This window comes from Homo sapiens, chromosome 16, assembly GCF_000001405.40.
Source record: "Homo sapiens chromosome 16, GRCh38.p14 Primary Assembly".
In the NCBI taxonomy this organism is placed as follows: domain Eukaryota; kingdom Metazoa; phylum Chordata; class Mammalia; order Primates; family Hominidae; genus Homo; species Homo sapiens.
Genome location: NC_000016.10, coordinates 52,548,284 through 52,561,660, shown reverse-complemented (window position 1 = coordinate 52,561,660; position 13,377 = coordinate 52,548,284). Strand labels below are relative to the sequence as shown.

Sequence of the window (13,377 nt, the reverse complement as noted above, 5' to 3'; positions counted from 1 at the left end):
CAATCACAGCACACCACTTTTAGCTTTGTCATATTTCCTACTTTTACTTATTTCCTTAATTCATCTTCCCTCTTTAATTTAAACAAATGTATTTAAAATGCAAATTGTATGTCATGACTATAAACAGAAACCAATTGCACTTTCCATAAGTAGAAAGTAACCATGAAAATAAATACAACAATCACAAACTGTAGTGGCAAAAGGATGGTGGATGGAACTGTATTTCAACATATTCTTTACTTTGTAATACTAGGTATTTTATTGTAAGAATTTACAAGCATTATTTTGATATAGGGTTCATAGACTTTACCAGATGTCCAAAGGAGCCCATAGCATTTTCCTTAAGAACACCAGAGTAGAGATACCAAGACATTGACTGAGAAGCTTGAGATCTTTCTCTGTTAAAAAAAAAAAAAATCAAATAGCATTAGGATGGTATAAAAGACACGTCAGCACCAAGCTGAGACTCCCTCTATGGCATAATCAGAAGGACTAAAAGGAAACAGAAAAGGGGCCAGGTATCTCACACCTATAATTCTAGCACTTTGGGAGGTAAGAGGATCACTTGAGGCCAGGAGTTTAAGACTAGCTTGGGCAACATAGTGAGACCCTGTCTTTACAAAATTTTTGTTAGAAACTTAGTTAGATATGATGATGCATGCCTGTAGTCCCAGCTACTCAAGAGGCTGAGGCAGGAGGATCACTTGAGCCCAGGAGTTTGAGGCTGCAGTGAGCTATGATTGCACTACTGCACTACAGCCTGGACAACAGAGTGAGAACCTTCTCTTAAAAAAAATAGAAAAGAGTGACTTTCTCCATGTAATTTAGTGTCTGTGGGCTCCATTAAATCATCTCAAGGAACCTGAGGTGATTTAATGGAGCCCTCAGACAGTAAGACTTAATAGGGTGTTCAGAAACCCCAATTGCCCATATATTACTTAGGTTAAAATTGCAAATATATTAGTACCATTATTTTGGATTATCAGTTCATATCATTAAATATTTGTTGAGGGACTATTACATACACAGCTCATGTGCTAAGTCCATGTACTAAGTATCTCTTGAGTAATGTGAGTGGAGAATGACCATGTAATCACAGTTATTTTAAAGTCAATGTCTAGCAACTCCAATATCCCGACACTCTTAGGGTCCGCCCCTCTCATCTATTTCTTCAGTCATGTGGTCTTGTCTCCTTAAATGACTGGTAGTTTGAAATTAGATGCCAGATGTGTATATAAGATTAAGATAATTTGAGCCTCTTGGTAATTTTATTTTCTTTCAAGGAAGATTCATTTTTATTTTTAGTAAACTGTTAGCATAGAGGCAGATCACCTAATCCAATCACGGATAATGTTTAATCAAAGCTAGACTTTGTTCTTTGTGAGGGTTGGTCTATTTCTGGTTCACTCCTATGTTCTAGGGTATAGCCCTTGGTGGACGTCAACAAAAACCTTGGGATGCTTATCACGGACTCTTTTCCTTTTAGGGCTCTGAATTCTAATTTTTCCCTTCAGTATGATAAGACTACCAGAAGCTTAGCTCAGCTTCTCTGCTCTCAGCCACTACTTGTGAATCAGCTAAAGACCTTGAGAAGAAAGCAGACTGAATGTCGAGCACACTCCTTGTACTTCCCTTTTCTCAAAAATCTTAGCCCCTCAAGTCCTTGCAGACATGGTAGCTCTCTCACGCCTTCAAACCAAATCAATCGAATATTTTGTCTGGCTTTTCTAGTTGCCCTTGGCTAATGGATTGTTCTGCAAAAAACAAGTCTATCATTACAGCCTGCAGGCCATATTATTACATGGGAAAAGCAAATTACAAAAGAATAAGTAGGGTGTGATTCTATATTCATTAAAATAAAAATATTGATAATTTGTTAGAAAATGCTCAGGAATGTAATCTGAAAGAGGAGTCACCTAATCATTTACATTGGTTATGCAGTATTTCATTTCACTTCCTATGCTATGTATTTTTTGTAATGTTTGGACTCCAGTTTTCAATAAAGATATATTTCATAATAAGAGGAAATTCATAAGGTCATTTCCAAAAGTTGAAAGAAATAAAAAAGGCATAACGAAATAGCTGGAAAGTGAGTTTATCCTTATCTCTGTGTCCTAATTTGGGAAAGCCAAACTTACAGAATATCCAGCAATATAGGGAAAGGTATGGTACCCTGGTTAGACTTATGCTATTAATTATGGTAGCCCTCCCTTACAGTATCAAGGGGCCTCTTGGTTCAGGGATTTTCAAGGTTGGTGAGTTAACTGTGGTGACTCCAAATTATTTACTGGGTCATTTAAACTACTTGATCTGCAAACAAAAGGGAAACTGAAATTATAGAAATCTCCCAACCCTAGGAAAACATTTACTTAGCCAAACTAACTTTAGCATGCGACTAATTAAAAAGGACTTCCTTCTTGGAAAGAGAGACACATATCCACAGAGTGCTATAATTTATTTAAGAGTTCATTTTGAAAACTCCATTCCATCACTTTGCAAGTGAGCACTGAAATCCAAATTTGGAAGTTAATATTTATGTGAGCTAATTTTTATCTTATTGATTCTACACAGATTTCTAGCCCTTTAAGATGATTTTGAGTCTGAATCTCATTTCTAACTATCTTAACAAATGTTTCCATCATTTTGTCAACTAAAAATTCGTAGGTATATTTTCTATGTCCTAATCTGTTTATTAAAATATTGGGAACATTAAAAAAAAAATCAGAACCGAGGGCAAGATAAAGTGGGACTTTACTAAAGACTTCTTACAGCCTGTCAGTAATGAATCAACACCTTTGTGTATGACTGTTTCATCTGCTTCAAATCCACTTGACTACACTATAATTTTATCCACATTACCCTCTTCCACTAGAGCTGCTAAGGAATTTATTCCCATTCAAGTCCTCTGGGTGAGCTAACTTAGCCACAGATCACAAGAGGCAGCCCTTGTGTACCGCCTGACCCATGCCCCTGGCCACAGCCTATTGGATCAAGGATAAACACTTGATACAAACTGGGCCAATCAGATTCTCTATCTCAAGAATTTCACAAAGAGGCATGGAGCCTGAGTTTGCTAGCTAGGGGTAGCCAAACATAAGGGTCATGTGACTTAGGGGCTGAAGCCCATCATCGGGCACTCATGATGAGCTTTGTATAAGCAGAAGGGTGAGGAGAAAGAAAAAACCAAAGCATGCATGCTGAGAGAAATGTAAAATTGAAGCCATGAAGAGGGAAAAACATGAAGAGATTAGCTGCCTATTGGCTTCCCAGTTCTCTGGATGTCTGACTTTGATAAAGTGCACTTGGAGTCTGTGAGGCTTTTTTCTGAAATTTTAAACTCCTTTTTTTGGCTTGAGCAAATGTTATAGGCTGAACTGTGTCCCCCACAAAATTCATATTTGGGCCAGGTGCGGTGGCTCACGCCTGTAATCCCAGCACTTTGGGAGGCCGAGGTGGGCGGATCACTTGAGGTCAAGAGTTCGAGACCAGCCTGACCAACATGGTGAAACCCATCTCTACTAAAAATACAAAAATTAGCCGGGTGTGGTGGCATGTGCCTGTAATCCCAGCTACTCGGGAGGCTGAGGCAGGAGAATCACTTAAACACAGGAGGCGGAGGTTGCAGTGAGCCAAGATCACACTGCTGGACTCCAGCCTAGGCGACAGAGTGAGACTCCATCTCAAAAAAAAAATAAAAGAAAAAAAAAATTCATATTTCAAAGCTCTAACCCCCAGTACCTCAGAATGTGACTGTATTTGGAGACAGAGCCTTTAAAGAGGTGGTTAGGTTAAAATGAGGCCCTTAGGGTGGGCCCTAATCAAATCTGCCTTGTGACTTTATGAGAGAGGAAGAGACACCAGAGATGTGCACTCACAGAGGGAGGGCCATGTGAGGACACAGCAAGAAGGTGGCCATCCGCAAGCCAAGGAGAGAGGCTTCAAGAGAATCTAAACCTGCTGCACCTTGATCTGGGACTTCCAGCCTTCATAACCATGAGAATATGAATTTCTGTTATGAAAGCCACCCAGCCTATAGTATTTTGTTACGGGTACCCTAATGGACTCAGTCTAAGAGGGTTTCACTGCTTTCCATTGCACGTAACAGAAAACTAGGACTCAATTAGATCAAAAGATAAGATTATGAGTTATTTCACATAACTAGAAATCAGGACAGAAGGAGCTCCAGGGTTAGTTAATCAGTGACTCCTGACATCATCAAGGATCTATGTTCTTTCCGTGTTTCTGCCCCTCCATTCTCATCTCAGCGTGTCAGCTCTGACCTCGGGCTAGAGATCCTTTCATGCTGATGAGCTGGCTGCAACATTTCGAGACATGACACTGTCCAGAAGAAGAAATTATTATATATTTTCTGAGTGTTTCTTTTTAAAAGCACAGAAACCCTTCTTAGAAGCCCTCTTACACTCTTTTCCACAACTTATCAACCAGAAACGCATCAGAGTTCATGACTACAGTAATCATTGGCAGTGAAAATAGGGCCATTGTAAAGGATCCTCCCTAGATAAATATGGTCCCAAGGAGAAGGGCAGAACTTAAATAAAATAGAGGTAGAGTTAAGAAAAAAAAGAGGGAATGAATTTGGAGTAGATAACCAACAGGGTCTCCCTGGTTTCCTTTACCATTTCTCCCTAGACAGCAATTCCATGCAAGATTGTCATGGGAGATTTTGACAAATGTGCTACTGAAATGGCAACACATTTTTTAATGTCACTCCTCTGATCTATCAATTTATTTAATATATACCAACAACAAGTACAAAATAAATTTGGATTTTCATAATGCTGCATAACTTAAACTTTTGTATGCATTATGTCTTTTGCTACAAATAACAACTTTACAGAATGAGAAACTGAGGCTCAGAGACTTGAAATGATTTGCTTAAGAACACTAAATGTTTGTCCCTAGAACAGTGAATATAGTGACCAGGGGTCACAGGCCAGTAGTGATAGGTTAGATTGGATTAGAGCAATAAATTGGTAAAGTTGTAGGAATCTAGGTGAGATTATGGGGACCTTGAATGTCAAAGGAAGGAGTTTAAAATTGATTAAATATATAATAAAGTCTTAATCTGAGGAGTGATCTGATGAAATGATATATCAAAAAGATTGATCAACCACTGGTTTCTAAAAGCAGTAAATAAGTGGTTTAACCAAATAGTAGACAGAGGCCAGACTCAATTTGAGATTCATTCATTTTCCACTAATCAAACTTTATTGAGCATATATTATGTGGGAGGTCCTGTATTCAGCAGTAGGGATAAGAGGATGTGCAAGACAGATATGGTCACTTTCCTTGTATCAATTAAAGTCAGAAGGATCTGTATTAATCAGGATAGGTTGGGCTATGCTGCTGTAACAAATAGACACTGGATATCTTGTAGTGCAATACCATCAAGACATGGTTTCGCTCATGTGAATTCTGAGGCATGAATTGTCTTCTTCCATCTGGTGCATGTGTCTTCCAAGGACACCACAGCAGGTCAAGAAAGATATGGAGGAAGCACACCAATTCTTTATTGCCTCAGCTGCTCCTCACCTAACAGCAGGAAAAACTGGGAAATACATAGTGGAGAGCATTCTGTATTTGGTTAGAAGTAACTGTCTCTGCCACGAAATTTTATAATAAATACCTCAGTTAAAGATCTGTCTCTTTTTTATTCACTTATGAAGTTGTACTATGCAAGGATTAGTTATATAAACATCATTTTAATTAATATGAGAAAAAGCATCATATTAACCTTGCTTTCAGACTGTGTATTTAAGGAGAAGATAAAGAATAACAAGTCAATACTAAAGAAAGGTGACATTTTAATTTCTTTGCCCTGCAGTGATGCAGTAGAAAGACCTCACTTTGCATCACAGTTCTGTGTGCTGCTTTTGTGTCCTTAAGCAAGTCATTCAACCTTGGTGAGCCTCCTTCAGCTTAACAAAGAGAATAATACTTATCTAACCCAGAGAGGTGTCATGAGGATCAAAATTTAAAATATAGATCTATGCAAATGTCTACCTGCCACCACAACTGACACACAGTATAAACTAATTAAATGTTAAATGAGTCTGCTCTATATGGGTCAAAACAAACTTTAGATCAGAACTCACAGCTGCGTTTTTTCATGCCATCATACATCCTTTTGCATCGAATCTAACTCAGCTGCCCAGCCTTCAATACTTTATAATGTTTCACTTCCCAGCCTGTCTCCTTCCCCCTATCACTTCCCGGCATCTTATCTCACCAAACTCTTCCCCTCAACACTCACTCACTCCTTTTACTAAACAATTTTGCTTGCTGCCTGAAACTTTTGGTAGGTCTCTAAAACACTCTTTCCATGGCACCGACTACATTATTGCAAAATAGGGGACTCCTCCTTACTCTTTGCCAGACCAGTCCCTCCGGGAGGATCATACTTTCTGCCCCATTGACATGGGGCTTGGCCATCTGATTTGCTTTGCCCAGTGAAAAGTGAGCGGGAATGAGGTGAGCAGCTTTGACAACTGTAGCGGGTTTCCACTCTCTCTTTTTCCTCTGCTACAAGACCCACATGCCCCAGATAGAAGCTTCTTTTTCAGCTTTGGTCCTGAGATGAAGATGTGCAAATGAACAGCAGCTGATGGGTGGTGGACTGGAACGGGGCTGAGAAATAGTCCTCTGTGCTGGTAACCCACTAAGATATTAAAGGTTATTTGTTACTGAAGCTTAATCTACCCAACAAATGGCTGATGCAACCCAAAATTCCCACCACACATGGAATATTTTCTCTCTAATAACTGTGTTCAAAATCTCCCTCCACTAGTGTATTTTTTCATCCCTTTTGCCTCACCAAAATGCTATCTACTTTCAAATGCCTTCTCCATGAAGTTTCCTCTGATTATCCTGATCATAAATGATCCCCGCCTTTTCTAAGCAGCACACTAACATATTACCTGTAACAATTTCTGTAAATAAATGTTTGTTGACTACACTAGCCTAAGAATGCTTTTCCTATGGCACTCATTACAATATTTCATTATTATACTACTTTCCTCATGTCTTGTCATGTTTAGTATAAACAGGGATCATGCTTTTTCCCATTTCTGGAAACGTAGGAGCATATAGTTAGAAAGGCACAGTCAGCATTTGTTGAAAAATAAATGACACAGGTTTCAGCTGTGGGTAAGATGGGGTAATCACACTCTACTTTTTCTCACTGGCACTGAACACAGCTCTCTAACTTGGTGTTTAAGCACACAGGGGGAATTTAGTTGGTGGTTCCAGATTAAGAGGGCTCAGTCTTTCAGTTAAACAATAGTTGAAATGTGGTTTTGGACTGCAGAAGAAGTTTTAGACTGGTGAGATGCAAAAACTTTCTTAAACTCCTTTCTCTGGGCCTGAGAATTGGCCAGTTACACAAACATTAACCAGGACATTGGCTCTACAGTGGCTATAATTGTGTTGTTGTTGTTGCTGTTGTAGGTATGTGAGACACCAACCAGAGTTCGTAATTCTAATGACCTCTCCAGATTTATGGCTGCAGCATTCCCAAGAAGGGGTAGGGAGGGGCATATAATGAGCTACCCTCAGGGGATCAGAAAGAAAAGGGAAGGTGAGGAGGTATGATCTAGAATGCTCAGGGTGGTGTTTGCATGACAATCTGCATGCCTTATGAAACTGACTTTATTTCACAGTGAAGAAGACATTTTGAGGAACAGTAGAGAACCTTCTTGAATAAACAGTTACTTCCTCCTGGGGAAAAATAAAACAATTAAAGATGTAGTAGCACTGGGCAGATTGGCCAATAAATAAGCAACTTGGATGGAAAAAAATCAAACACGGATTTTACTCTAAGGTTTAGACTAATAGAGGACACTCATGGAATTTGTTGTGGGTGAATGAAGGAGGAGACCAAATGGGGAAAGAGGCAAGATGCAGTAGGAGAGGCCAGCTTCAGAATCAGCCACACCAGAGAGTGTCATTTTCAGTCGCCATCCTACCTCAAGATGTTCCACCCAAGCACCAGTTCTGAAGAGTCTTCAAAACTCCATTACCACCTTCATTTCCTTCCTGCCCTGGGCTTCTAGATGTGTGGGTTGGGATAAGAGGTGGAAGGAAAAACAGCAATGCTATTTCATCGCACAACTCTAGGGGGCACCATCCACACTGCATTTATGTAACAGAACATTGTAATTCCCCCTTTCCTCCCTGAGGCCTCAGCAGGGAGGAAACACAATGTTTTCCCTGAACCACTTTCAAAGACCACCTTTCTATTTGATTTCTATTATATATTTAACCATTCTTCAATTCCCAAAGCACTAGTTCAGAATTTTTAAATCTTTTCCTTTCCTTCAACATGTTGTTGACACAGGATAGATGGAGTAGATGAAGCTAAATGATTTTTACCTGCTGTCCTTAAAAAGAAAATCTCTTGTGCTAACTAACCTCAGTTTTTAAAACACGCATTTTAAAAAGTGCAAATCCTCTAATCTAACTTGTAAAACATTTAATATTTTGGATATGTGGCTTTAATGACCATCCAAAAGTCAGGGTGGCTGGACAATGGGAGCTGCCAGACTATTGTCCATTGGCCACAAAGCCATGAGGTGGCTCTTTTTCCTGGGTCAGGAGGTCAAGCTTCACAGCATTAATTTTGCAGAGTTTCTTTGTTATAAATAACAAACAAGGTCATTTATTTTCATTTTCTTGTTTCTAATTGCATGCATCTTCTCCCGAGGATGAACTCCATAAACAGGTGGCTGGAATGCTGGGGAGAAAACTTGAAACTGTTCCAGAAAAAGAGGGCATGTCCCATTCTGGCGAAACAGTTTGATGAGTTAGAGATTTAGTCACTGCAGGATACGCACCTGCACTATTACTCGAAAAGCAAACACTCATCTGTTTGGCACGCACAGATCTATGTAAATTAGGAGAGATTATTTTGCTGCTAGTCCTTGGCTGTTCTGTGATCAAATGCAATTGTTTCCCATTTCTTAAGAAACAGAATCTTTATTAGACTCAGTTCTTTTCTTGGTTATTTTTACAATTTTATTGTTCTATGGTTATTAAAAAATAACATGTCATATAAATTAAGCCTAGAAACATGGATGTTTATCAAAGAAAGGATTGTCATCCAAAGCACCAACTATGAGAGATATCTATGTGCAATGGTATATAGATCTGTCATAGAAGGGTTTAATTATATCTGCCTAATGATTTTCTCTCCTTAATGCCTCTATAGCTGTCTCTTAGCGAAGAATAAAACTGTGGACTGACCCCCACCCATTTGCGAAGAAAGTACTGGGTCTTCAGCTTTCATTGTTCAGCCGGTGGTCTTTGTGGACAACACCAGGGGCCCCTCCTGCTGAAGACTGTCTGGACTTCCTGATTTTCACTCCTGTATAAACCCCCTCCCCCATTACTACCTTTGTCTCCTTGGGGAAAAAAAATGTTTTTCACTTAAGCAAAATAATAACTACCCAGTATTTGTTTCTGGAGTGAAATTGTAAACTTCATTGTACATTCTTCCTGGCTTTGATGCTTATCGTGAAGAGTTCAGTGAAAATAAATTGTTTTTATGAAAGCAGAGAAACCATTTGATAAACACGCTGTCTCTGAAAATCGTTCCTGCAAAAGAGGTCATTCTTTCACTTTAAAAGAAATAGAATATATTTCAGAAAACAGGCAGGACAACATACAAATTTTTTTTTAAGGCAGAGTGTAAATACAGTGAAAATTGCACACCTCCTGATTGTGTGGAGTGTTTTGGTTTCTAAAATATCTTTATTGAAGAGCTACTTAGGTCACAAGCAAATACTTGCTGCATTCCATATTTGTGGTAATGAATTCTTGGCTTAATAGTTTTTTGCTACCAGGGTGTTGGAGGTGACTGTTCCATAATTACTATGTATCTGTCAGAACCTATGGGTGTTATCTATTCTTTGTAAAAGTAATAGTCAACTGACAAAATGATTAGTTTTCTAGAGCCCTTCTTGTGCCTGGTAATACAGAGACCAATAGGACTAAAATTGTAGTAGTATGGGAAACAACCTCATGTACACAACTGAATATATATTTATTATCATGAAGGAAAAGTTTGCTTATTTTTATCCCATTTCCCAGATTTCTGTATTTTTTGGATTTCTGTGTTTTTTTGACCAAAGTAAAAATATCAAAATAGCTCACATTTTCATACTAGAAGAGTTTAGATTCACTGAAAACTGAAGCTAACAATGTCTATGATTGGGGATTTTTTTTCACACTATAATTCCTGTGTGGATCTCTCTATGGTGATTCGCTTTAGGTCCTGCACTGGTAATGTGTCATCAGGTCTCCCAGGTAAGAATTCTTCCTCTATACCATGTGTAGGTTCACTATGGTGAGAGTCTTGGTAGGTTCTGACTTGCTTTTATCTGCATGTGGTTTAGACTATGCACATGAAGTGTTGATTTGCAGACACGAAACTCTCCTAAATTTCATGAGGATACACATATTAAGAATCCAGTCTGGATAGGAATGCTACGCTTTATGACACAACACCAAGTTCAGACATAAAACTGAATATAAGATATTTTAGCAATATAATACATTAGCTGTTACTATGGGAATAGATGAGAGGAAACGTGAGTAGCCCTGGCCTTGTTAATTTCCACCTGGAGCTATCGTTAATTTGGTTACATTACGTATTGCAAGGATCATAATATTTGGATAGGATTTTTCATCACCAAAACTCAAGAGAATTAAACTGTATATACTGTTTAATAGTATTTGCATCTGATCTTGGGCAAGCAGAACACAGAGGGGTTAAATTACTTTCATAGATTCGTAAAAGTGGGGGTTCCAGTGAGGTTTTTGGTTATAAAACTCTGGCAGGTTTAATGAAGTCCTCATGGGGACTTTCTTGCATAATTTGAAACCAGATAAAGTAGAGAAAGTTTTCAGGTTCCGTCAAGATGTAAGGTAGTTTTCCCACAATGTAAAGTTTGTGTATTTTCTCCCCATTTTTAAGGGATTCTTGGATGACATCAACTATTTAATTAGAAACATCAAGCATTATAATAAGATGGACAGTTTTGATCCGAATCATCTCAAAACCCTAAAGGAATTTTCTTATGCCCAGAAGTTGTATTTTGGCTGCAGAATTGATTCTTCTGCTGCCCTTCTAAATCAATAACTGTTAGCATTGTTCAGCATAAATTCAAAGCATATTTAAGATATGTTCTTGGAGAAGGTTCTTCAAATTCAAGGCTAATCCAGTATAAAGGAAACCTTTGTCTATGGCTTTCAGAAACAAGACTGCTGACAGACTGAAAATAGTGACACCCTTAAGATAACAAATACCATGACAGTTACAATTGCATTTAATTTTTTAAAGCATTATTCTAAAGTTTTTAATGGATAGTCTTCAAAACCACTGGAACTCTTAAAATTAGATGATAGTGCGAAAGCAATGGAGAGTGTAATCAGATCAGTTCTAAAGGAAACCACATAGGATCTTAGTTTTTATGTCTGCGAAGGGTCTACAACAGCAGGGTGCAAAAGGCCCCCACCCCACCCAAAGTAGATTGTTCTAATTCACATCAGAGGTCCTGGATATACTCTTCTCAAATCCTGCCTTAAGGTTCCCTGCAAATAAATTACACTATTAAAACATTCTGTGTTTTTTTCCTTCTTCCTTCCCATGTTCTTTCTAAACTTTCTTTCTTTAATGAATATTTATTTCCTGCAAACAAACTATGTATCAAGCATGGTCTGAGGTTCTTGGGATCCAGCAATGATGTAGCAAGGGATGCACTGCCTCATCCCTTGAGCCTTCTTATACAAATACCATGGGGGTGTAGAAGCTGGCATCCTTCACACTGTATGTGAGTTTGTTTTTCATGTCGCTTCTCTCAACAGCAGCTAGTGGCTGTGCCATGACAGTATCTCCAGGTGACTGGGATGGTTCAGGGCATGTATACACGTGTGCATGTGAGTTCGTGTGTATTTTGTGTTCCAAGAGCCAAAATCATAGTCCTCTTTGAGGACTTCTATATGTGTCATGTCGGGAATTGAATCCTCTTTCTCATTCACAAGTGCCTAAAATCATGTCTGGCACATGGTAGGTACTCAAAAAAAAAAAAAAAAAAAAAACAATAAATAAAGATAGCTGCCAAATGCGTGGAGATTGGGCTAAATCGTCAAGTCAGCAGCCTTCACCAATGCCCTTTTTCTGTTCCAGTGATTTTCTCATTCTAAATGCCTCAACATACACATCTTCAGCTCATCACCCGGATTCTTCCCCTCCCTCTAAATCAAAATCTAAACTCAGATCTTTTGCTTACCTTATATCCTAAATCAAATAATAAAATGCAGACAGATGAGTATTGTTCCCTTCACAAAGGTATTTGCATCCTAACAGGGAAGGGAAATTTAAGAGAAAGACTTTTCCAAAACAATGGCCAGGAGTTAGGGATTGTCACCGAGCATTCCTAACTCCTGAGAGCCTTAGGGGTAAAGTTCTCGCTTCATTTTCTAGGCTCTACCGCCCAAAGCTGAATGCAGTACATCAGCCCACTTGCAATTCCCATTCTTGCAGCTAGCGGGTTTCCACTGCGAAGCGTATTTATATTCCTGATCCTCGAAGTCTGATTACAAGTTCAGGTTTAGTCTCTGTAACTTTGATTATACTTTTCTTCATCCTTTAATCAAGCTCAGATTGCTTCAGATGCAAAACAGAATGAGCAGAAGGTGAGGATTGTGAGTGTGCAAAGAAAAACTTAGCTTTCCAGAGTTTTGGCTCCTTGTAAGAGCTATCTGTAAAATTTTTTTTTTAAAAAATTCTTTTTTGGTACCCCAGATCATCACACTGCTCCTCTCCTGTGGCCAGATCCTGCTCTGTAGGCCATTGTTAAATACTAATAGCGAAACTTAAAAGATGTTCTCTTGCGAGACAACAGGTGGCCACTGCAACCTCCAGCTCTGATTGGTGGAAAGGCCACAGGCGCCCAGTGGCCCAGAGAAAGGGCCTCCACTTCTGCGTTTCAAGAACTTGCTCAATGGGGTGTTGTCCTGATAATATCTCAGCTCACTGTCAATTTGTGCAACCTGCTGGGCCATTAGGGAGCACCGCTGGGTTGTCAACGTTAAATGGAGACTAGGGAGGGGAAACCAAAGCTTTTTCGGGAGGGTGGGGATCAGAGTCAACCCAGGGACAACGTGGGCAGTTGTTTCTTTTCTCAACACACACTGCTCTCTCATGCAGTAGTCTCCTGACCCAAGTTTTTGCTAAGAGAAGAGCAAATACACAAACTTTCACCTAATTGAAGTTTATTTTTTTCTGCTCCGTTCCAGAAAGATAATATTGAGTGAAGGTACACACACAGGTGTCACAAGCCCGATCTACTCTGGAGA

At 39.1% G+C, this 13,377-nt stretch overlaps 1 long non-coding RNA gene across 1 annotated transcript in view; it reads left to right on the top strand.

Annotated features, from left to right (window-relative positions):
• Positions 1 to 9,574, top strand: part of CASC16 (cancer susceptibility 16) — a 54,889-nt gene extending 45,315 nt beyond the window's left edge. Inside the window, exon 4 of the long non-coding RNA NR_033920.1 lies at positions 9,227 to 9,574. This is a non-coding gene — a long non-coding RNA (cancer susceptibility 16). The remainder of the gene's footprint in view (positions 1 to 9,226) is intronic.